Source organism: Homo sapiens, chromosome 7, assembly GCF_000001405.40.
Source record: "Homo sapiens chromosome 7, GRCh38.p14 Primary Assembly".
Classification (NCBI taxonomy): Eukaryota; Metazoa; Chordata; class Mammalia; order Primates; family Hominidae; genus Homo; species Homo sapiens.
In genome coordinates, this window is record NC_000007.14 from 16,604,721 (window position 1) to 16,631,469 (window position 26,749).

Below are 26,749 nucleotides of genomic sequence, written 5' to 3' on the forward strand. Positions count from 1 at the left end.
CATTTTGCAAACTGAACATCTTTTACTTGCTCCCTTTTCTCCACAGGTAGTGCAAAATTCCACATCCACAAAACCCACCTGGCCAGTGATGGCTTGGGTAAGGACGGAGAATGCAGTGGGATCAGAACCCTAGAGTGGGCATGAAGAGGAGAAAAAACAAATTCTGAAATCACCATGGAAACACTACAGAGGTATCAGCCCACGGACACTGCCGTCCTACAATGTGACACAAAAAGGAAGAAATCATTAAGGCTATAGATTACACAGGCTTTAAGACAAAATGACAAAAATCTTTTAGAATATACCATTTTCTGTACAAAACATATGAAAAGTCAGTCATATGTCCAGATAATTAAAGAGAAAAAAACACCCTTAATCTAGAAAAAAAGTATTTTTCCAATAAGGATAATTCAGTAAGCCCATAGCGTTTCAGATTTAGGACAATAACTCCAGAGCAGAATTTTTTTCTGAGAACTGACATCCAGAAAATATTCATATTCCATGAGACAATTATAGGGCACATCAAAAATGTTTAACTGTCTTAATTCTGAAAAGTTTAGTACAATCTAAGTATTTTAAAGACAATATATTTAAACTCATTTACTTGATGTTGGCTTGTAATTCAAATAAATTATCACCATTATAATTGGTATGTTCCAAATTTGTTAAGAAACACACATGCAGCAATTGAATCAAAGTATTAAGAAAAACCAAATGTGTGAAACTTACTACTAGTGGGCAATGGAAAATTAAAATAGGTTAAAAAATATTTATAATTTTTATCTATTTTTATTTTTTTGAGATGGAGTCTCTGTCACCCGGCTGGAGGTGCAGTGGCTCGATCTTGGCTCACTGCAACCTCCGCCTCCCAGGTTCAAGCAATTCTCCTGCCTCAGCCTCCTCAGTAGCTGGGATTGCAGGCGCCCGCCACTACGCCCAGCTAATTTTTTGTACTTTTTTTTTTTTTTTTTTTTTTTTTTGAGACGGAGCCTCGCTCTGTCGCCCAGGCTAGAGTGCAGTGGTGTGATCTCTGCTCACTGCAAGCTTTGCTTCCTGGCTTCATGCCATTCTCCTGCCTCAGCCTCCCAACTAGCTGGGACTACAGGCACCCGCCACCACGCCCGGCTAATTTTTTTGTATTTTTAGTAGAGATGGGGTTTCACCGTGTCAGCCAGGATGGTCTTGATCTCCTGACCTTGTGATCTGCCTGCCTTGGCCTCCCAAAGTGCTGGGATTACAGGTGTGAGCCACCACACCTGGCCAATATTTTGTAATTTTAGTAGAGACAGGATTTCACCATGTTGGCCAGGCTGGTCTCAAACTCCTGACCTCGTGGTTCGCCCGCCTTGGCTTCCCAAAGTGCTGGGACTACAGGCATGAGCCACCGCGCCTGGCCTATAAACTTTTTTTACAAAGAAAATTATAAGGGGCTGGGTGTGGTGGCTAGCGCCTGTAATCCCAGTACTGTGCGAGGCCAAGGCAGGCAGATCATTTGAGGTTAGGAGTTTGAGAGCAGCCTGACCAACTTGGTGAAGCCCCGACTCTACTGAAAATACAAAAATTAGCCAGGCATGGTGGCACGCCTGTAGTCCCAGCTACTTGGGAGGCTGAGGCAGAAGGATCACCTGAGTCCGGGAGGCAGAGGTTGCAGTAAGCCGAGATCGTGTCACTACACTCCAGCCTTGGTGACAGTGCAAGACCTTGTATTTAAAAAAAAAAAAATTATAAGGGTAAGCATTTATCTGTCTGAGACGATGCTACTAAAACCTATTTAGCAAAAAATAATCACAGCGTTTCTATTTTTCTTACCTACTCCTAATAGTTCTTTGTTCTGAGTTTTTCAAATTTGTTCATTTGTTCCAAACCAGCATTTTGACACTCTTTATAATTTTCATTTTCATTTGAGTATTTGCTTTTTCTTCCTAAGAATATTTGTTTTTATATTATCTTACCAACTGTACATAATAGAGGTTTAAAAATATCACCTGGTAACAATGTCCTACACTGTTCTGTATACTCAAGATAGTCAAAGAAAATATTCAAAGATTCAAGAAGTATTTTAAAAGTAGCACTCATTTTGAAACTACCATGTTCTTCTTGAATACAAATAATAATGACTGGGTCTGCTTTCACATGAAAGTGCTACGAATTCTCTTTTGTGCTGAGCCTTGAGACAGGCAGAAGCCAGAGTTCCACAGCAGCAGAGGGAACCAAAAGCTGAGCAGGAGGGCCCAGGCATTAGCACTGTCAGAAAACAACACAGTGAAGCTCACAGCAGCCAGCCCTGAGAACCATCGTATGCGGGGAAAAGGTTGGGCATCACTTCAGAGGGTTAGAACTTGCAGAATATGAAAACCAATTAGGCAGTAAACAATGGCTGTGATACGCACAATCACAGGCATTTGGGATGAAGTCTTCCAGACAGAAGAACATAAAACTCTCAAAGAACAAAAATGTTTAAAGAAAAGTCTTTCTAAAATGCATTAAATACTATCTTAACTTTATTATAAACCTTTTCTTGATGACTCAGATCACTGGGATAAACATTAATCATTATACTCTAGGCCGGGTACGGTGGCTCACGCCTGTAATCTCAGCACTTTGGGAGGCCAAGGCGGGCAGATCACTTGAGGTCAGGAGTTCAAGATCAGCCTGGCCAACATGGTGAAAACCCGTCTTTACTAAAAATGCAGAAACATTAGTCGGGCATGGTGGTGTGTGCCTGTAGTCCCAGCTACTCGGGAGGCTGAGACATGAGAATCGCTTGAACCCGGAAGACTGAGGTTGTAATGAGCTGAGATTGCGCCACTGCACTCCAGCCTGGGTAACAAAACAAGACCCCCCTCAATAAATAAATAAAAATAATAATAATTATACTCTATAAACTCTAATTACATTATTCTATTATATGGAGCTAGGATAACTTGTTGACCACAATATTGACCTGCTTTTTTTTTTTTTTTTTTTTTTTAAAGAACTCTGGGTTGCTGTTTTAGTTTTTCTGTTTTTTCCCAGGAAGGTAAAAGGTCAGCAACCATTTGTGAGTGCTGGAAATCCCACATAACAGGTACTGCTAGTTGCTTCTCTGATATCAATTCTCCCAGCTTCCTCAGTAACAGAAGTGTAATTTTGTTCAGAGGAGGAGTGTTTAGAAAAGCCAAAAAAAAAAATTTTCCTGGACTCCTGTGTAGCTAAGGAAAGTCATGTGACACAGGCAGAGGGCTTCTGGGAGAGCTTATGTTTTCCAGATATAGACCCCTTTGCTCTTCCTGCCTGCCTGGGATAGGAATGTGAGCTGGAGGAGGAACATCAAATGCCTCGTAACCATGAGATCATAAGTATGCATATGAGAACCTACACAGCTAAGGAATATTGGAAGGGAAAGATGAGAAAGTGTTTGGGTCCCCAAACTATTTTTAAGTCACTATGCCAGACCTAGTCTGCCTACCTTTGGGCATCTATGTATATGTGAATACATAAACCCTCATCTATTTAATTCATGGTTGGTTGGGCTTTGATATGTGCTGCCAAGACACATTTGTAATTGACAAATCATAATTTGCTAACTTTATTCTTCCAAAAGCATAAACACTAAATAGCCAACTATATTAAAAAGTATGAGTAAAGAAACTCTTGAAAATAGGGGGAGCACACATGAACAAATTAATGCATGAGCTTTATGAGATGGTCTTTTCTGCTCAGGTCTTTCTTGTTTATTTTATGGCTCAGACTAGGTGAATTCTTAATGTACAAAGGAGCATCTGGAGCCCACTTGAAGCCCTGATGTTCCACACTGAGAATGACATAACAACCCAGAGAGAAGGCACAGAGAAGGGAACCAGATTTGCCAGAGGGAGGGAGGAAGCCATGGATGGGACTGGTCTTAGGATCAATTTCTTGCCTGATAGACAAAAGCTGATCAAGTTTTTGATTGAAACGTATAAAAGCATGAATGGGTATAGATAGGGTAAACAAAAACCTATTCAAAATAGAAAAGGTGGCTGGGCGCAGTGGGTCATGCCTGTAATCCCAGCACTTTGGGAAGCCGAGGTGGGTAGATCACCTGAGTCAGGAGTTCGAGACCAACCTGGTCAACATGGTGAAATCCCATCTCTACTAAAAATACAAAAATTAGCTGGGCGTGGTGGCGCGCACCTATAGTCCCAGCCACTCAGGAGGCTGAAGCAGGAGAATCGCTTGAACCTGGGAAATGGAGGTTGCAGTGAGCTGAGATTGTGCCACTGCACTCCAGCCTAGGCGACAGAAACAGACTCTGTCGCAAAATAGAAAAGGCCAAATAAATTAAAATATATGACAAATGAATAGTAAGTCATTTAAATAACAGATAAAGTTAACAAAATACACTTATATAGTGGGTAAGTATAAATAGGTTGTAAGTATGGACATTTTCTAATCAGAGGCATTAAGGTGGATTATAGGAAGCTGAGGCATACTTTGAGATTGTTACCAGGAACCACAATGAGCCTTCCCATGGCTTATCCCACTACATCCCCACTGCCTGGACACTATCCCCCTAGGTGATCAATTCATACTTGCATCTAGTGTATGACTTTGTGCTGATAATTCATATAGCTACAAGTGTACATGTGTGTACCTATATTACATAGTGGATGTACTTAAAATGTAAGTTTCTACCCTAACCATCTACATTTCAACATAGCGACGTCCTGTTTATGAAACTATGAACCATAATAAGGTAAGAAGAGGATCGTGAGATGGGAAATAAATAAACAGGAACAGGTTTGGCAGGCAAACCTATCTCCACCTTTGTTCCTAAAAATATTCTGAAATAATAAAAATAAATATTAAAGAGAACTTGCCTTTAACAATACAATAGGTGGGAATTAGGTTTTACTGATAGAGTCAACTTAGGTAAGAGGAGCCTTACAATTTCAACAGGAGCAATGCTTCGAACCAGCTGCTGGAGGAGTGTAGCTTCACAGTAAGGAAATTTTCTGATACTTTCTCTAATGATCTTTTCTTGATACACTGGAAAGCCATCAGAAGCTCGGCCTTTTAACAAGCTGAAAGATATTTTTTAAAGCGTAATTGGAGTTGAATCACTAAGCATTCTCTCCTAGTTGAACCCAACAGTTTTTAGTAGTTTCTTCTGTTACTTATGATTTTCTTTGTCTCTTCAAATCATGATGACGGGCTCAGTTCAAATTGCTGTTCAACCTATATGTTAGGCTAGGCCTTATAAGGTTTTCCAGCCCATTAAATGAATATGCAAAGGTGACTACCACCATAAAACACACTAAACACTGTTATCAGATTAGCTAGTTACTTATTACCATGTCAGTTATTTGTACTAAGAATGAAAACTCTCATAGAGCCACACCCTTCAGACTTAGTTCCCTTTTCTAGGTAAGGATGCAAGAGAATTTGATCTCTGGTGGTCAGAGAAGCAGCATAACACACAGCTCTCCAAGATACAGTAACAGAGACACCCTGGATGCCATTACAAACCTAGGGCTGCGACCTAGGGCATAAAATATTCTCAAATTTGGACTTGGGCCACTTTCTCGCGGTGTGATCTTACACATGTTATTTAACCTCTCCAAACCTCAGATTCCTCATCTGTAAATTGCTGGTAACAACAAAAACATCACAGTAAAGGATACAGAACTGAATAATCACTCAATATAAGTATAATATTATTCTCTGTTTGTCAAAGACTAAATGTGAGTCCAACAACAGCAATTGCTGCCAAAATGTTTAATTTTGAAACACATAATAATGAGGCTTCATATTAAAAAAAATATTCACTTGAGTGTATTTTATAAACGACATAGTAAAAAGAGTACCTTTTGATCAAGGTGTCCAGTTTATTCTCTCCATCTTTTAAGAAGTTAATGCATTTCTGAAAGATACAGCTTATGTAATGCATCTTCATAGCCAATACTTCATTCATGTCTCTTTGCTTCATACATTTCTCACAAATCAAATCCATCACTCTGTAGCATTTATTCAGGGCTGCTTCTTCTGTCAGCAGAGGATTCTCATTTACAAGCATCACGATCTAGAGGAAATCCCAGTGTACTCAGGTATTAAAGGAGACACTTGTTCATGTACAAATTAGGTAGTCCATTTAGTTGATTTCAAAAGATTACCAAAGAAAGCCTTCCTTAGGATCATGAAGTTATTATGTTATTTGTTAGAATGCAAATTACCCAGAACTTATAGAACTAATATAGAAAGACCCTGAAATAGTGGAATCTCTTGAACTCTGTATATCAAAGTTATAATGTGATCTTCCATCTACCTACACCACAGTGCCAGTATGCCATTCAAGAGCACATGATTTTACAGTCTCTGTTAAATTCACTTTTACTAAAGATAAACATGACAAATTTGTACATTTTACATAAAGAATCAAATCATTGAGCAATAACCACTTTTAGTTAACATTACTCAGCTCTAGAATTTCATGGCTAGGAGAACTACAATTCTCATTAATTCTTATTAAGCACAAGAAAATGAGATTTTTTCAGAATGAAGTCTAAAAATGAAATATGCTTTACTTTCCAATTAACTATATTTCTCTATGGAAATTTTCCTGAAGATGCTTCCAATCATCTACAGTAATGAGAACAGGTCAAAGAGGAAGCCATAAATAACTTTAAAGGGGAAATATTAGAATGATCAAATCTTACACGTTATGAGTCCCACATTTCCTATGTATGCACAGATTATGCTCAAATTTAGTGTAATATGGAGTATTTTTGTATTAGCTTTGTTGTAGGGTAGATTATTTGAAGTAGGTCTGCAAAGGACTGCTGTAAATATCCATGGTGGCATAACAGTAATGTAAACATGAATGTGAGAGTGGCAGGAGGCAGCCAAATGCCTAGAGAGAATAGGGGTGGGTCCTTGGTGAAGCCCCACTTCCAAGCCAAAGACAGTTTAAAGCCTGAAAGCCAAGCTACAAATTAAATCCTTGAACCGGATTGAGAACTTGTCTTCCTGTTTGACTCAATTTCTTCTGATTGATCCCCACCCTTCACCTATTTTACATACACCTACCCTTTCCTAACTGGTTTTCTACACTGTTGTGCCCACCATTGAGTGGTGTCTTCACTTTAACCTTTTTTACATACTCACAAACCAATCAGCATGCACTCCCCTTTCTGAGTCCATAAAAGGACCTGGACCCAGGCACATGGGGCACTTTCCCGCCTTTGGGTAGGGGAACCACCCTGCACTGCGTCTCCTATTTGCTGAGAGCTTTCCTTTCACTTAATAAATTTTACTCCACTCACTCTCCAGTGTCCACCTGTCTAATTCTTCCTGGTTGTAAGACAAGAACTTGGATCTAGCTGAACTAAGGAGCACAAAGACCACAACAAATGTAACAGGGACACAACTGTATGCACAGAGCAGACAGCCAGTCAGTACTTGCTAACCTACCTGTTACAGCTAAATCAATATCCCAGGGACTATACATGTCAGGGAACAACAGGTAGATTTCCTGAATTAGATTCTTTTCTTTAGGCATGAAAAAAGATCATCTATTAGTAAAGCCCATAGCTAGCCCTCTAATTAGAAATTTAACACAGATTAAATGTCCTTGTAAAATTAAACGAATTTCACTTTTTGACATTTATTAGATTTATACACAATCTAGTGTTTTACAAAAATCCAGCACTTAATAATAAGTTATTAGACTTAATGAAGTAAGTATAATCAGAATCCTTATTGATAACTCTCTCTACCAAAACATACTTTGACAATTTATGGTGGAGAAGAAAAGACTCATTAATTATCTGTTTATACTTCTGCTAATTGTAATCATTTAAAGTTGTTTGATCAGTATTTTTATATATGGCATTTATAATCAACTATAGAATCTTAAACTTACAAGTGAGAATTCTTTCAAAAAATTTCAAACAGAGCCCAGATTAATAATTTTTTGTTTGGAGACATCAGACCTTATCTATGTTTTAATACACAGCACAAATATACACCAAGAAAAATGACAAATAACCACATCATTAACATGCGCTTATTGAAACAACTACATAGCTGCACACAAAAGAATAATATTTGTACTTGTTTCCTTCCTTAATCTCTGCAGCATTATGAAGTAATATATTATAAAGGAAATCCTTTTTATTAATTAATGAGGAGGAGCAAATAAATATATTTCTATTGGCATTAAAAACTAGATAAATTTTTACCATTCAAAGGATTGCTACCTGAGAATATGTTTATGTAGTGGCATTTTGAATTCTTTTTATTTTTTAAATCCTATTTTTAAAAACTGCTAAATCTACAATACTGGGCTTGAAAATCACAATAATCAAAGACATGATTGTTCTGTGCACATCTGCCTCCTGTACACTTAGAGACCCTGCTCTGCTGACATTTTTTTCTGTGATTTTGTTTTTCTCCTAGATAACCTTCATATTCTGGGCATCAGCACAATCCTCCAAATCCCTTTTGAAAACAAATGCATCCTTATTGCTACGGCAGCCACTTAATCTAGACACAAATACAGCTATATTAGGTGCACTGTAATGAAAAGTGAGGTGTGTATTGGGGAGAATTTCCGAGGTTGTTTTAAAAGCTGTTTAACATTACACAGTGGTTATTAGTTTTTAAATAATACTCCATAGGAAATGCCATGCTAGCTTAAAAAGGGGGTAGAGCAATAAAAATGGGCCACAGTAACAAAAGCAACTGGGTGGCTTTTAGATCCCAAGGGTGGATAAAAGAAAAGGTTTCGAGCGAATAGATTGTTTATACCTACAAAAAGCAAGGTCTGGTCTGGAGGAAGGTATATAATAGGATAGCCCCCTTCATACTCCAAAAAATATTATGTAGTCTATTTCAGACTATATACCTTTACAAATTATTGTCTGCATAATTATGCCCTCAATCTAATTTACTTAAAATATATACCTTCAAAGATAACTGAAGGTAGAGTATTAATAATTATTAGGACATTTAACCCTGAAAGACTGGGTTCCAAGTAAACATAAAAAATTATTCCATAAGCCTGGCCAACATGGAGAAACCCCATCTCTACCCAAAATACAAAAATTAGCCAGGCGTGGTGGTGGGCACCTGTAATCCCAGCTACTCAGGAGGCTGAGGCAGGAGAATCGCTTTAACCTGGAAGGCCGAGATCTGTACCACTGCACTCCAGGCTGGGCGACAGAGCAAGACCCTATCTCAAAAAAAAAAAAAAAAAAAATTCCACAAACCCTTACTGCAATCTGAAGAGGCAGAAACATAGATATGAAAGACAGTGAATCAGAAAAGTACAGGGAACTTCTTCAAGTCAGTCTAAGCCAGAATATCCTGTATTGCTCAGGCAGTGGAGGAACAAGAGTCTTACAGAACCACACACATTCTCTACATTGAGAAATACTGTACCCTGACAGAAACCTGTCTCCCCATCCCAGCCAGCCCATGCCTGAGAGAGTGCCATGGACAGAGGTCAATGCTTCTCTTGGGAGTTCTCTTTTCCCTAGGTATGCTGGGAGGGAGAGAAACAGTAACACAGAAGAAAATACATATTTTTTAAAGGTTAAATTCTAAGCCCTCTGTAATCTCCACTAGAAACATGAGTATGCAGTTCACAACTGAATTTGCCCACTTAGTATCACAAGTGTTGCCTCTGGCAGTTCTTCCAGAATATTAAGAAAAACTCTGAGTTTTCTAAAATAAAAATAGCAGATTCCACTCTTCTGTCTGATGGGAAAGGTATCTACTAGTTTGTCATCTCTCTTAAGGGCCTAGAAAATTAATTTGGGTGGAGGAACACACAATGAGTAAATTTGGTTTGTTTCTCAACCTTCAAGTACTCAAGAAAGATGCACAGGGATGCATCAACAAAGTAATAAGATTATACACATTTTGGATCTTATATCTTTGAGTGAGTGTCAGTCTTCAGAAGAGTCACCTTATAAGAACTGTCCACTCATTTTCATGATGCTCAGCAGACTCCACAGATTCTTCTTTCGTAATAAACTTCTGGGGAAATCTATTTTACTACATGATAGTAACGCCTTATGTTAAGGAAGAACCTTAACTTTTGACACAACTTAGTATCTTGCTCACTTAAACAGCTCTGAACTACTATCAAATCTTTATGAGTAAAAGCATGTGATAGATACTGAAATTGAAATAGGACCTCATCACTGTAGCACACATGTAGCTGTGTAGTTTTCTGTGATGATTATTGAGGAAATTATACTTGTTTAGCTGGATTTTTTTGAAAAAATTATGTGTAAACAACAACAGCAAAAGCCTGTATTTTTAAAATCTGGAAGACAATAGCAGTGAAATATTTCAGAATAGCTCTTGAAGTTTCCCAGTTAAGCCATTTGAACTTATGTGTTGGCCTATGAAATTTGAAAATCTGATTTGATGAATTACTGGAAGAACTATGTTATTTAAAGGCATCAAATAGCCACTTAGTTTAAAAATGTGCTCATGATTACATTTCAGAATCTTTCTTAGAAAGACAATTATTGTAATAGATGCTGTTAGTGCCCCCACATACATCCTTTTTACCAGGCCTGTATACCAGGCCCCCGGGGCTCTCAGGGTCAGCTACTATGGTCTTTTCTCCAGAGGACTACCCTCATTGAAAGGGAGCCACCTCACTTGGTACTATGTGGGAGGCTGTCCTTTCCCTCTGGAGACAGGCCCCACCCAACAACAGACTGATGAATACAAAAGAATTCCTTTGCCTCTCTGGAGCCACTCACACTCCAGAGCTCCCGGTGGGATGAGGTGGAAGCTAGGCTTCAGCAAACCCATCTCTTTGCGTGGCTTTTCCTGATGGTTTAGTCTGTTTCTCTCTCGCTCACTCACTTCCAGGTTTCAACGGAGAGTGTTCCTTCAATAAATTAACAGGCCAAAAGAGCCCACTGCAAGCTCTACAACTACAAAACCCACCCCAAGACAATTATGATCCTGTATAATAAAAGCAGTTTAAACTCTGAAGCAATATTTACATAAAAAGCAAATACGGTAGACACCACACTACCTTGACAGGATGAAGATTCGTTGTGGTGATAATTTTGTGCAGCGGGCCTGCCAACTTTGGGGGCAGTTTTGGCTCTTTATCCAGTCCCTGGGGCTTAGTGTAATAATCCAGTCTCTCTCGAGGAAAGAAATTGTTGATTATGGTCACACAATCATGTTGACCTTTTCATAGAAAAATAGAAAAGTTGTAGTTTTAGTATTAAAAATAACACATCTGGTTTTTAAAATTAATTATGTTGCTATTTTTGTGATGTAAACATGCACCAATATCTTTATTTTTCAGGAAAGGAGAGTAGAGGAGGAGGAGGAGAGATAAAATATTTTAGAGAACATTTATAAACATTCCTTGTAAAGTTGATAAACAATCTTTGAAAGACACAGAATCCAAAATACATACGAAGATTATGTGGATTACAAAAGAAAGCACTGCTCAACTTGTAAGAGACCTTAAGTATTTTCTAACAGTTGCTTGTAAGTTAAATGTCTCTTCTTCCCAGCCTACGCAAATGATGCTCATGTTTCCCTAATCACATCCAGTTGTATTTACACAAAATTTAAATTTACTCCATATAAAGTATTGTTCTTACTATAATGATAATATTAAACTAAACCCCCTCCCCCTTATCCCCTACCCCCTAAATTTGAGAAAAGCTTGCCCTCTTTGTGAAATGTAGAGAAAAGGCTTTCGCTCCCATAAGCTTGGAATCCACATCGTGGCTTTGCATAGAATTCCAAGCCACTTCTCTAAGCCATCTCTAGTTAAAAATGGTTCTATGAAAGCAAATTCTTCCCTAGCGAAGCTGCTGGTTTGCAAGTGTGCTCCTGCGGCGCCCCCCCCTCCCTAGCTCCCTCTCCACTACCTCTCTGGAGCAAAGCAGTGGCCACTCTGGGCAAGCAGGCAGAAGCCACAGGGCACACAGGAGGGCGGGCGCAGGCTCTTCCTGGATCTCCGGAGGAGACTTCTTCCTCCGCTCTGCCTGATGAGGGCTGGGGGACCAGCGGAGGCGCGCCTGGGGAGAGCGTGCAGACGCCATGGCCCCCGCTCCCGGAGAGTGGTTCCCCCTGGGTAGCCTGCATGGCCCCTGCCTGCTTGTGCTTGGTCCTGGGAGCGCCTGCTTGATCCTGCCGACAACAGGTGACCTGCGTGGGGATGGCACTGTGGGCCAGCTGGACGCTGGCGCTTGAGGCTGGCAGAGGGCTCTGCTTGTCCCTGAAAGTTCCTGGGAGAACCCAGGAGTGGCAGGCTTCATCCTTGTGCCTCAGCTGGTTTGCTGACCAAACCAGCTTAATGTCTCAATTAAATGGTTGAATACTTTTGATGAGACATTTTAGAACTTTTTTTTTTTATGGGAACACCTATCTTTTTATTGAAGCTCGATGTAGATTTTGTTTTAAGGAAGCATATGCAGTTTGTCTTCATCTTCCCTGGTTTCTTCATACACATTTCTAAATTTCCCCACAGTTACCTGTGTTGATTTTGATGCTGTATTCATAACCCACTTGCATTAGATTTGCTTGGTTGAATGTCATTTTTCTCTCTTCTTGAAGATTCTATAAGGAGAGTGATAATTTTCTAAAGTAATTAATTAATGTCTTAATTGAGACATTAAATTTTCTTCTTCCACTGATCCAGGACCCTATCAGCTTTACCTGACTTCCTGGGAGGTACAGAACAAGGTACGTATGGGGATCCAGCAATTCTGAAGACTACGCCATGCCTCCAACAGAGGGCTTCTTGGGTTGAAAGTGTGTGGGTAACATTTACCATAACAATAACTACCACAACTACAGCTAATAAATGCACTTAAGCAGATTCAATTATAATATATAAATAGACTTTCAAGAGCCGCAGAGAGATTCAAATTTTAAAAATTAACAGGCAAACTGAAAGAGGTGATCCTGGTTACTATTGAGAACTAAACTAGTAACACAGAGGATGAAGGGCAGGCATGGTGGCTCATGCCTATAATCCCAGCACTTTGGGAGGCTGAGGCAGGAGGATTGCTTAAGCCCAGGAGGTGCAGACCAGCCTGGGTAACACAGCACAAACCCGTTTCTACAAATAATTTAAAAAATTAGCTGGATACAGTGGTATGTGCCTGTAGTCCCAGCTACTTGGGATACTAAGGCAGGAGGATTGCTTGGGGCCAGGAGTTGGAGGCTACAGTGAGCGTGTTTTTTTTTTTTTTTTTTTTTTTTGGGTGAGACAGAGTCTGGCTCTGTTGCCCAGGCTGTAGTGCAGTCACGTGATCTTGGCTCACTGCAACCTCTGCCTCCTGGATTCAAGCAATTCTCCTGACTCAGCTTCCCAAGTAGCTGAGACTACAGGTGTGTGCCACCACACCTGGCTAATCTATTTTGTATTTTCAGATGGGGTTTCACTATGTTTGCCAGGCTGGTCTCAAACTCCTGACCTCAGGTGATCTGCCTGCCTTAGCCTCCCAAAGTGCTGGGATTACAGGCGTGAGCCACCATGCCCAGCCAAAGCTGCAGTGAGTTTTGATCACACCACTGCATTCAAGCCTGGGTAACAGACACCCTGTTTCAACAAAACAAACAAAAAAGATCGAGTGGATGAAATATCTCAAAACAGAAAAATTCAGATATAGAAATCATTATACAACAGATGAAAGAGCTAAAGAACAAATCCAGGAAATCTAATAGTGAAAATTAACAGACATCTCAAAGGAAAAAAAGGAATAGATGGAGAATTAAACAAATGATAAAAGAAAACTTCCCTGATTTGAAAAGAGAATTTAATAGTGATCACAATACCATTTTTGGTACTCTATGCTTTTATTAAGTACCAGAACACCCAATTTCTTTCTTTTTGGGGGGATTCGGGGAGGTGGGTATTTCTTTTATTTCTTTCCCCAGTACATACGTCTTGAAAAGTCAAACAGTAGCAGTCTATATTAAAAATGTGAAATGAGCCAAGGTGCTCTGTTTAGAAAATGATCACCTCTCCTTCCAGAATCTTCAAGAGAGAAAAATGACATTCAACCAAGCAAATCTAATGCAAGTGGGTTATGAACACAGTTATCAAAATCAACCCAAGTAATTGTGAGGAAATTTACAACTGTATGTGAAGAAACCAGAGAAGATGAAGACAAACCGCACATGCTTCCTTAAAACAAAATCTACATCCAGCTTCAATAAAAAGATAGGTGTTTCCACACACACACACAAAAGTTCCAAAATAGCTCATCAAAAGTACTGAACCAGACATATGAAGACTTGAAGATAAAGGAGTCAGAGAAAAATAAGGAATTAGCTTATAACTGTATCTTCTCATCAGTCCTCCAACTAGTACAATTAGGAAAAGCAGGCAGCAGGTAGAAATATCTGTACATAAAAATAATTGCTACATAACAAAGATACTGTCACAAGACTAAGGATTTCTTTATTATACCTTTTTTTTTTTTTTTGAGATGGAGTTTTGCTCTTTTTGCCCAGGCTAGAGTGCAATGGCGCGATCTTGGCTCACCGCAACCTCCGCCTCCTAGGCTCAAGGGATTCTCCTGCCTCAGCCTCCCGAGTAGCTGGGATTACAGGTGCCTGCCACCACGCCCAACTAATTTTGTATTTTTTAGTAGAGGCGGGGTTTCTCCATGTTCATCAGGCTGGTCTCGAACTCCCAACCTCAGGTGATCCGCCCGCCTTGGCCTCCCAAAGTGCTGGGATTACAGGCGTGAGCTACTGTGCCCGGCCTAATTATACCTTTTTAAAAAGAAAAAATAGTATTACTTTACCTTTTTTTCCAGATTAAGGTTTTTCATTTTAGGTAATGCTTATTTTGATATTTTATTTTAATTAATCTGCTAATAACATATTTGAATAATATGTTTAAAGTTTATCTTTGTAAATACTTAATCATTTAGGTTTAAATGTTTGTAATTGAAATTCTTAAATATTTTACTAGTTTTAAATTTATAAATTCTGAATATACATAAATAAAATAATACTACTAATATAGAAAATAAATGCTGCAGGTGGAGAAGCCAGTACATCATTTTGCTCCCATATTACAATCACTAGATTTGAGTCCTCTAGACTTACAGGGCTCACTGAGTGTGATTAATAGGAACACACACATACAACAAGACGTATCCTTTTCAAATTTTTTACTTTCAAGGATAAACTGAAAATCAAATGCTCTTCCAGAATGAGAAATGTAAAGTTTACAATGGAAAGTAAGTTGAATTCTCATTTGCAAAACCAGAACTTAGAAAACTGTAGAATAACTTCTATATGTCGGAGAGAAAAGAACTCTGATATGAGTCAGAAAGCTAGGCAAAATATGACTCACATTTCAGAAAGAAAGGTATTAATAGTTTTGTCATGATGGGTGTCAAAGAATATACAACCTACGTAACCCATTTGAAAAGGTCCTATAACCAAAATCTAAATGAGAACAGAGATCTAAAGACAAAAATGCAAAAATGGAGACAAAGGGGAGGAGAGAGAGGACAGTAAGAGAGTGAGTTCATATGAGTGGGTGAAGATAGATGACAGGCAAATCACACAGCTGGTGGTATGGATTACTGAAAGAGAAGCAACACCCTGTCAATGACACTCTCATTACAGCTTGTGCTAAAAATACTAGACTCTCTCAGCAAAGTCCACAGCTACAGGTATGATTGGCACAGGTTTTGAGGAAGTATCAGAGAAGGCAGAAAGGAAAGACCTGTGGCCTGACAAGGCAAAAACAGAGAATGTGGAGAAATAAATGAAGTATAAGGATTTCATCTTATAAAGTTGCTAAATGGGTAAATATGGGGCCTTGGGGATGGGGTATGTGGTACTGTACAGTTTTGACCAGCCAATCACTTTAGGGAAATACATGTGTACACACACACACACACACACACACACACACACAGATGCATGCACAAACAATAGTCAAGTAAAATAAAGAGTAAAAATGAGGTAAAAGAGGAGGAATGCAACCACATATATCAGTAATTACATTAAATATACATAAGCTAAATACCTGTTAAGAGAGGGAAACTAACATTTTAGATTACAAAACAGAACCCACCTATATGTTTATAAGTTATACTACTTAAATGAAATGATAAAGATTGAAAATAACAGATGAGCAAACAGATCATTGACAAAAAAAGGAATTATGAATAGCTGTAATATCAGTAAAAGTAGAACTAAAAGAATTCAACAAGAAAAAGAGTGACATTATACAATGATAAAACCAATAGCAATATATTAAAAGTGAAAAGCTAAAAATATTTTCATTAAAAACAGGAAAAAGACATGCCAATTATCACTATTATTTCTTCTTACTTGGCCCGAAGCAAATTCAAATAGAAATCAAGATAAAGTTTAATAGCTAGAAAACGCAGTAAACTGTAATAAAAATAAGAAAAAAATACAGAAATCAATAGCTTTTCTCTTTATTATCCATAACCAGCTGGAAGTGACTGAGTGTGGAGGTGGTAGTGCAAATTCTTACCATGTGGACAGTAACCACAAATTACTAAGAAATAAATTTTGAAAGAAAGGATTGATATGAAGGAACCAATTAAATATTACTGAAAGACCAAAAGTCAGTCCCCTCCCCTAAAAGAAATGTAAAAGTGTACTGTGTAATTGGATGGAAAGTCCTAACCTCATACAAATGTTAATTCTCTGCAAATAATTATATAATCATTTAGTAAAAGAGAATTTAACTTACCACAAAGGTGGTATTTCAATTTAGTAGGAAAATGTTAGCTGGTGTAATAAATGGTGCCATCACAATTAGCTATATATCTGGGGGGAAATGAACTCTAAACAAATAAATTCTAGATGTACCAAAAAAATCATAAAAAATAACTGAAGGATATTTAGGAGAATACTTATGTAACTCCTGGTCAAGAGGCCCACTTTTAGCAAAACAAGAAACACGGAAGCTATAAAAGAAAAAATATGACTACTTAAAAATAAATTTCCTGCCGGGCACAGTGGTTCATGCCTGTAATCCTAAGGACTTTGGGAGGTGGGACGATCACCTAAGGTCAAGAGTTCGAGACCAGCCTGGCCAACATGGCTAAGCCCCATCTCTACTAAAAATACAACAATTAGCTGGGTGTGGTGGCACATACCTGTAGTCCCAGCTACATGGGAGGCTGAGGCAGGAGAATCGTTTGAACCCAGGAGGTGGAGGTTGCAGTGAGCCGAGATTATGCCACTGCACTCCAGCCTGGGTGACAGAGTGAGACTCCATCTCAAAAAAATAAATAAATAAATAAATAAATAAATTTCCTATGGTAAAGGTCTCCATAAAGTTAAAAAAGAAGAAGAAGAAAGAAGGAAGAAGAAGAAGAGGAAGAGGAGGAGGAAGAAGAGGAATAAAAAGAAGAAGAAGAAGGAGGAGGAGGAGGAAGAGGAGGACTGGCATAAAATATTTGAAACACATTTGTTAGATAATGGATTTGTATGCATAAAGCTCCTCAAAGCAATAACAAAGGGCATCCCCCCACAAAAAAATGAATAAAGAGTATAAGTGGGTAATCCACAAAAGTGAAAATACAAATTACCAACAACAGAAGTGCTTAATTTCATAAATAATGAGGGGAAAGTAAGTTCACAATGTACCATCTTTTTAACTATCAGAGTGGCAAAAATCAAAGAATGGTAATACTCAGCTCTGATGAGGATATTACTGTGAATTACTATGCCCTTTTGGAAAGGAATCTAGACTTACATTAAAATTAAAACTCTAGGCTGGTCGTGGTGGCTGTAATCCCAGCACTTTGGGAGGCCGAGGCGGGCAGATCACAAGGTCAGGAGTTCAAGACCAGCCTGACCAACATGGTGAAACCCCATCTCTACTAAAAATACAAAAAAAATTAGCTAGGCGTGGTGGCGCACACCTATAATCCCAGCTAGTTGGGAGGCTGAGGCAGGAGAATCACTTGAACCCGGGAGGCGGAGGTTGCAATGAGCTGAGGTTGGGCCACTGCACTCCAGCCTGGGCGACAGGGCGAGACTCCATCTCAAAAATAAATGAATAAATAAATAAATAAATAAATAAATAAATAAATAAAAATAAAAACTCTATATCCTTTGTCTCAGCAATTTTACTTCTAAGAAATACTTTAGAGATATTAAAGTTCTAACATGTAAAAAATATTCAAGTACTAACTTGTAAAACATAGAAAATCAAGGATGATTATTACATTATTTGTAGAAAAGTGGTTAAAAAACTGTAAAATCTGTCAATAAGGGAGAGCTAACTGAACTGTGGAACATCTATATCATGGAGTATCATATAGCTGTTGAAGGAAATGAATTACACCTACTGAGATGGGAGGAACTTCCATGATGTATTAGTAAGTGAAGAAAACAAGCTACAAGGAATATCTGCTGTGTGATGGGTGGCATTTTTAAAAAATGACAAAAATCTTATGTATGTATGTACGCATGTATACATACTGATCCACTTGAAGGAAACAAAAAGGGGAGAATGAGCTTTTTTAAAGGCTAATTATTTGGAAAATACAGTAACAACTGGAAGGGTGCAATGTAATTTTCTGTCTGTGAAATCAGTTAAATATATTAAAATGGAATGAAAACATTACTCTTATTTTAGGATAGGATTGCAAACAATTTTTACTGTAGTAAAAATTTTGTTAGTATTGTAGTGTTAAGAAAAAGAAAGGAGCATTGTGTTAATGCCTGAAAGAAGAGACTCCTCCATTTCCAGACCTGTGATCTTGGGAAATTTTTTTACCTGTATCTGAGCAATATTTTGTTACATTGTGGATATAATGAAAACTTGTACAGTTAAATAGAAGTTCAGAGATCACCTAATTCCCCTGCTTCTTTGCATACAGATCAGAAAACTGAGGCCTATGGAGGTAAAGGAATTTGCCCGTGATCCTATAACTAATTATCAGCACACATGAACTAAAGTTCAAGTCTCCAGATTCCTACTTTAGTGTTCTTTCCCCCTGCAGTGACACCCTCAAAATTAGCTCAGAACTGAGATGGGGCAACTTGGGGCCTGTACACACGGGAGTTAAAATATTTCTCCGAAGCTTACACAAGGCCATACCTTTCTCAAGTCCTTTTGAAATGAAAATAAGGATACTTCTTCTAACAGAAAAAGCTGTCATAAAGCAACTGAGTGTCTGGCTTAATCAATGGCAGCTTCTATTAGTAGTTTCAAGAAAATGTTCTAATAAAATTTAACATAATATTCAGTTACTATCCTCCACACCTAATTTACACTGTATCTGAACCTGACTTCTCTCAAAACCCCCTTGAATTGGACAGATCCTCCTCTTCTATGTATTTTTATGGAGCTCTGAAGTTCTACCTTGGAGTATGTGTTTTCGCACCATTTGTCATTGCTATTACCCTTTAAGTGCCAAGAAAGTATGAACAGCCTGTCTTGTCACTATAACCAAGACACCTACAGTGATGCTTGCTTTATAGGTTGTGAACATTATTTGTTTAATGAATTATTAGTCCCTATACGGCCACTTACTGCACTCCCAATAAATCAGACGTTGCTCTTTGCTTTTCTCTCAGTGGACTCTCTTCACCACCAATTCAATGGTGTCAAAATACCAAAGAACAAGAATTCACTCCCACTCTTTCCTTACATTATGTCAAGCAATAGGATTAACATGCCAAGAATTATTGGGCACACAAAATAAACGTCTGTGGTTGATGAGAATGATAACGAAGTAGTTGTATATTATTATCAAGTACTCTTTCCTAAGAGTTATGTCATTGTTGTAATAATTATTAACAACAGTAACTAATACCATTTATTTAGTGTTACATGGAAAGTTCAAGTCTATCACCTCTTTTAATCCTCACAATAACCCTGTAACATTTTACCATGAGGAAACTGAAGGTCAGAATTATTAAGTACTTTGCTATCACGTGGCACAGCCAAAATTTAACTTGGGATTACTGACTTCTCGGTTAGCATTCTTAAACATTAGGGTTAGCTACTTCCATCAGAGACATAAAATATACATGTTATAAGCATTTGTGAGCAATTACAATGGCCCCACTACTCTTTGTATTTGAAAAAGTGGAAATTCGAAATAGCCATTTGTTTTCTCCAGAGTCACTAGGTGTTTCATTAAGTTACAGTGGACTGTAAATACTTAAGTTTTTTTAAAGCAACATGATAATATTTTCACCATGAGAAGCAAAGTGGGTTTTTTTTCCACAAGGGAAATTTTGGGTATAATCTAATGCAAAACTGCAGCAAAATCTCACCCACAAAGGCTGCCATCTGAGCTGCTGTTCTTCCCACAGAGTTGACAACATCTGTCTCAGCACCAGCTTCTAACATTACCCATGTGATGTCTTTATTACCTAGAGTTTTAAAGGGAACACATTTGTTAATGTTAAGGAGGACACAATTTAAACATCCCTTTCTAAACTCTCTATACCCTTTATTCCCCCAGTTAGTTTTAGGTTTCTGTCATGTGGATATTTTCATTCTTTTAAAACATGAATCCTAACTACAGTAAAGAATAAAATGCTATAGAACCTTAGAAATTAACCTTATTTTCTGGAAAACAAATCAAGCAATGCAAAGGCAGTATGGAATTGAATACTGCCTTTTTAAACAAAATGAAATATATTTTCCTAGAGGTAACACTTACTATAAAATCAAAATACGCATACAAAACAATTTTTTAAAAAGAGATAAAATGAATAGGATTCCCCTTTAATATCGACTAATCCATCCCATTCCTCACACTTACAGGCTCTGGAAGAACTATTAACCACTGGGCATCTATCTTTCTACACCTTTTTTCTATCTAAACATACACATTATTCTATTCACATTCTTCTACTAAAGTAGTCATTATGGGTATTTTGCTATTATGAACTATACTCAGTGAAAAGTATTTTCCATTCATTTTCGCAAGTTTGAATTATGATTTCCTTAGGAACAGTTCCTGGGAAATATTGCCAGATCAAAGATTATGCATATTTTAAATGCATTTTGCCAGGCTGCCATCCAGCAAGGTTGGACTGACATGCACTCCCCCAAATAGTGTAAAGAAGTTCCTGAGCATTATAGCTCTTTCTTAACATTTGCCAGTATAATAAGCTAAAAAATAAAATTTATTGTTCTAATTTGCATTTTTTTGATTACTGCGCAAAATGTTTTATATTTTGATCAGCCAGTGGTATTTCTTTTGTTTTCCATCCAATTTTCTACTGTAGTATTTTTCTTTTTATACTTGATTTATAAGAAGTCTTTTTTTTTTTTTTTTTTTTGAGACAGAGTCTCACTGTGTCACCCAGGCTCAAGTTCAGGGGCACGATCTCAGCTCACTGCAACCTCTGCCTCCCAGGCTCAAAAATCCTCCTGCCACAGCCTCCTGAGTAGCTGGCACCACAGACGTGCGCCACTGTCCCTGGCTAATATTTGTTATTTTGGTAGAGACGGGGTCTCATGGTGTTGCCTAGGATGGTCCGAACTCCTGGGCTCAAGCAATCAGCCCGCCTTGGCCTCCCAAAGTGCTGGGATTACAGGTGTGAGCCACTGTGCCCAGCTAAAAGAACTTTTAATATTTCACAATATAATCTTTTAAGACATATAATACAGATTTTTAGTTTTTCATTTGTATTTTAACTCTATTTATGGTATATCCTACAAATGAAAATGTTAAATTTTTATCAATATTGTCCTTTTTGGATTCTGTGGTTTATATAATGCTTAGAAGTGCTTCTGGGTTCCAGGATTATGAAAATATAGATTATTATCTTCAAAGTACAAGGATATTACTTCTGTATTTTTCAAAGAGCTGCACCAATTACAGATAATCCCACTTAATTGTAGACAGTATTTCTAAATTGTCCTTATTCAGCAAATAATAAACAATACAAATCCGAGTAAGTTTCTAAAGGGATCATCATATTTAGTACATAAGTGCCAGTGAGGCAAACAGACGGCTCTGTCATGGCAACTGTTTGATCAAGAGAAGAAAGAAGTTTTCATGTCACTTGAAAATATAAAGATATAGAACATCAAAGGAGGTAACTTGAAAGAAAAACAGATCCAGTTCCTCAATTCCATCAAAATGTTGTCCACATAAAGAATCAATTGATCTAAATAACAAAAGAAACAAATCACCAAATTCACTATATAATTTATTTCCTGCATTATAGCTTTTCAAAAACCAATTGCCATCATTCCTTTCCATAAAACTTGACCATAAAATTACTAAAATCAAAATGAATTTAATCTTTTAGTATATATGTACTTATAACAAGTTTGTATAGGTAACTTATATTTATAAATACTAAAACTTCACCAGAAAGTGCAGCAAACATGAGGGCTGTGTATCCATGTTCATGCTGATGACAATTTACATCGGCTCCATGTCGCAGTAGTAATTTGCACATATCGAGTTTTCCTTTATATGCTGCATGCATTAGAGGAGTCATTCCATTCTTTAATAGAAAGAGGAAAAAAGTATTAATTTTACTGTTTTATCTTTTCTGTACCTATGAACAATTTCTGCAATTAGAAACATAAAACGAATATGAACTAATTAAAATGGTCATTATAATATGTATTTTTATATTTGCTTCCACACTTTGATCTTCCATAAACTTCTGAGGAAGAGATGGTTTTATTACTGGAGATTTTTTTACGGATTAGCAAACAGATTCAGAGAGGACTTGCTCAACCTCACATGACTAATAAATGGTGGGGGCAGGGATTGAAACCCACATTTTCCAAACATACTTACTTTCTCAGAAAGCAAATGAACAAACAGATACAAACATATTTTTTTAAAAGAAGAAAAATCTCAAATAATGCCTCTCAAGGGGAAAGTTGAATAAAGTATGGTATATGCATAACATGGGATATTATGAAGCTATTAAATGAATGATTCATCTGTATCTACTGAACTGGAACATTTTTCACAAATTATTGTCAATGAGAAAAGGTGAAGGAAATGCATATTACAGTGGTATCATTTTTTAAAACCATGATTCCCCAAATCACACATATATTTTGATCATACATATGATTTGATTATATGTGATTGTATAAATATAGAGAAATGGTTGGTAGTATTTAGGCTATATTGTTTGGTCAAATCACACATATATTTTGATCATACATATGATTTGATTATATGTGATTGTATAAATATAGAGAAATGGTTGGTAGTATTTAGGCTATATTGTTTGGTCAAATCACACATATATTTTGATCATACATATGATTTGATTATATGTGATTGTATATATATGGAAAAATGGTTGGTAGTATTTACGCTAGGCTACACTGTTTGGTCTCCATATGCTTTGTGCATATTCAACAAAACATCCAGCCTTTTATGTACTAGGCACTACTATTATTTGGTAGGTAAATGGATGAGCTGTTAGTGTGAGTGAATTTTCTCAGTAGTGTAGGCGAAACGCTGTAAGTACCAAAACATCAAAGTTGTTTTGGATGAAACGCTCTGTAAAACATATAATCCGTTACCTTAGTGAAGCTTAGAATGCTAACATAATGTAAATTATTCTTGATGCTTCCAGATTATTATTATGAACGTAAGCCATCATCTTGTTAATGCAGTACACACTATGTTCAGAGGGTTGTGGAGACGAGAATGATAGAGAGGCTGGGACCTTTCAGTTGCACAAGAGGCAACTCCGTGGAAGCAACGGACATTTCTTGAGAGTAAGAATGGAAAAATGATAAGCAGATGATAACTTTGAAGACTCCCTTAGCTGGGAGTCTCTACAGAGATGGAATATTAGTATGCTGGGAGTGGGTGGGTGGGTGTGGGTAAATCTCATTGCCGTGCTTCAAGGGAGTAGGAATGGACTGCATGGCCTTTAGCTTTTAAATAAGGCAATACCATATCGCGAGCATGACTAAGGTGATATCTCCTAAAGGATGATAGAATCTGTCCATAAGAAGCTAGTGTGTAGCCTGAGGGGTGGTAGGGGAAGGACACAGGCCCATCAGAAAGGCCACCACAAAGAAGCAAACAGCTGTTTCTTTTGCAGATTTTAGGACCCCGACTTCATCATGGAGTTTGTTTTTTTCTGTTTATCCAGAACAGGTGGGCAGTCAATTGCCCAGCAATCCAACCTACAACAAGAGGTTATCTAGCTCTGAGAATGAATAATCCCCAGACTACAGAACTGGCCTCTAGTTTAAACAAAACAAAACAAAACAAAACAAAACAAAACAAAACAAAACACAAAGCTTTCAACAGAATGTAATAATCTGCTTAAGAGCAAAAGAGATATGCAAAACTTTTGAATCTCACATCTCCAACTGTCCTTATTTTCCTGTGTTTGTGTTTTCACTGTCATCTGTGTTAATCACTTCTGCCCATTTACGTGTCTCCTATTACTCCCTTTCGTCTCATTTAAAAAAAATTTTCCTGGCTCTTTTCTCTTTCTCACTTGTTCTTTTCTGTTTACCAGCTGTCACCTTAGCAGAAATTGGTTTTTAGAGCAAACCAATGAGAGAGTTTCTTTCCAGAAAGGTAAGTATCGGCCAGGCACAGTGGCTCACGCCTGTAATCCCAACACTTTGGGAGGCTGAGGTGGGCAGATCACTTGAGGTCAGGAGTTCAAGACCAGCCTGGCCAACATGGCAAAACCCTGTCTCCACTAAAAATACAAAAATTAGCTGGGCTTGGTGGTGGGTGCCTACAGTCCCAGCTACTCGGGAAGCTGAAGCAGGAGAAGCACTTGAACCTGGGAGGTGGAGGTTGCAGTGAGCCGAGATGGCGCCACTGCACTCCAGCCTGGGCGACAGAGTGAGACTCTGTCTCAAAAAAAAAAAGGTAAATGTCTATCCCAATCATGTCATCTGCTGTGCAATCTCTGAAACTGCTCTTTTTGTCATGTGTATAATACAGTATATGATTTTCAGATACCAAATTTAAGTGCTGTGGTAGATGGTCCTGGGTATTAGAAAAAAAACTAGTGATAAGTAACAAATTTACACTTATTTTTCAAAGAAGTGGATATCACATGTACTTTCCTATCTTAGTACAATTTTGTGTTATAAGAATTTAGAACAGTATGAAGGAAATTATAAATTTTGACTGCAATGATTACTATGCATTATCTTGGTTCTAGTACCATGTGATTTATAAAAACTTTCCCATGGGCAAAGTAAAAAGAAGTAATATTAATAAATTTTGATGCTCCATAGAGATATAAACCCACCATGCTATAAATTTTCTATTTATTCTAGTGTTTTTATAGTATTTCAGTGTAAATATCCAGAAAAGGAAATAATTTGAAACAATACTGCTAATCTACTAGAAGTAGAAGAGAATATTCCCATGTTCAAAATACATGATGCAAGTTAATTTAAAATATTATATTACAGTTGTAAAGATGAAATAACTTAGTATCAGACAGAATACTAAATGTCCATCTCTACTCAAACTAGAAAGGTAGTGATAAATTTCATAAAATGTTATCATATTGTAATTCATCAATTCTAAGATGCATCTCACTTTTATATTTAAAATCTCCAGAATTTTCACTTTACTAAAGTCTCACAAATTACCATCAGTTTACACTCCCCTCATTTAAAAAATATCTAGATGAATTTTTAAATTTATGACATCTTAGACTCAATGATATGCAAGAGTAAAAATCCTCACGTCCTTGTCATTTCCCAAAGATAACCTTGTAGGTAGTCTGCTTAACTGAATAGCATGAGAAACAAGCTTCTACAATTCTTTAGATACAATCCCCTTAAAAATAAAGTTCCTCTCCCATAATTCTTAAGTCAAAGAATCAATCAACATTAGGTTATTACATTGGAATTCTATGTCATTAAATGCAGCATCCATTCATTCAGCAAATATTTAATGAGTGCTTAATACATGTCAGACACTGATCTATACATTGGAGGTAGCAATAAGCAAACTTCATGCCTCCCATAGTCTAAGTCCCTGGGACTTACAGTACAGGTGACTAGATGGATGGTGATACAAGTGCTGGAAGAAAATAACATTAAGCAAAGGAGAGTAGTGCCAGAGGGAAAGAGAAGACTATTATTTTAAAGAGGACATTCAAGGAATGTCCCGCTGAAAAGGTGGCACTTGAACAAAGCCCTGAAAGGAGTTAGGGAGGCAAGGAATGCAGATAACTACAGGAAGGATGCTCCAGGGAAAGGGAATGAAAGTGCAAAAAACTTTGTGCTGTGTTCAAGGATCATCACAGAGGCCAAGTCTGTCTGCAGCCCACTCAATCTTCAGGAACACATAGGAAGCTTCTTGTCTTGATTCTGGTACTTCTATTTGAACATTAAATATGATGCTAAAGTTTGTGGAAGGTTTCTGCAAACCTATCAGGTTACAGAAGAGTCATTCTATCCTAATTTGTTAGTTTATACCATCAAAGGTTATTACATTTTATAATATACATTTTAGCATCTGTTGTGGTGATCCTATTTGTTTCTCTTTTATTCTGTAATATAGTGAATTACACTGAAAGGTTTTCTAAAACTGAACTATCCTAACATTCTTGGAAAAACCTTACTTGGCTATGATATCTTATAATCCTTTTAACAGATGGCTGCATCAACCTGCTAACATTTTTAGAATTTTTGCCTCTGTATTTATAAAGTGAATTGGGTCCATAGTTTTGTGAAACTTCTTACTATTTGGCATCAGCATTATGCTAGCCTTATCAAATAAATGAGTTGAGTATCTTCCCATCTTTTTCTAAACTAATGGTATAATTA

The 26,749-nt window shown here is 37.5% G+C and overlaps 1 protein-coding gene and 1 long non-coding RNA gene across 4 annotated transcripts in view; one reads left to right on the forward strand and one right to left on the reverse strand.

Moving 5' to 3' along the window:
• The window catches only part of ANKMY2 (ankyrin repeat and MYND domain containing 2), a 45,976-nt gene that overhangs the window by 4,942 nt on the left and 14,285 nt on the right, over positions 1-26,749 (reverse strand). The window contains exons 3-8 of the mRNA NM_020319.3: positions 22,320-22,458; positions 20,263-20,361; positions 11,024-11,184; positions 5,829-6,043; positions 4,910-5,045; positions 1-129 (exon numbers count right to left, since the gene is read on the reverse strand). Of these exons, the coding sequence (NP_064715.1) occupies positions 1-129; positions 4,910-5,045; positions 5,829-6,043; positions 11,024-11,184; positions 20,263-20,361; positions 22,320-22,458 (879 nt within the window). The remainder of the gene's footprint in view (positions 130-4,909; positions 5,046-5,828; positions 6,044-11,023; positions 11,185-20,262; positions 20,362-22,319; positions 22,459-26,749) is intronic.
• LOC105375169 (uncharacterized) lies at positions 105-23,645 on the forward strand. Of its 3 annotated transcripts, none has more exons than XR_007060226.1 (5): positions 105-191; positions 8,419-8,552; positions 11,306-11,459; positions 12,656-12,699; positions 23,560-23,645. It is a non-coding gene; the product is annotated as an uncharacterized LOC105375169 (long non-coding RNA). The 3 variants fall into 3 exon arrangements; XR_007060225.1 differs by lacking the exon at positions 23,560-23,645 and adding an exon at positions 13,997-14,080; XR_007060227.1 differs by lacking the exons at positions 8,419-8,552; positions 23,560-23,645 and adding an exon at positions 13,997-14,080 and having other exon boundaries at positions 112-191.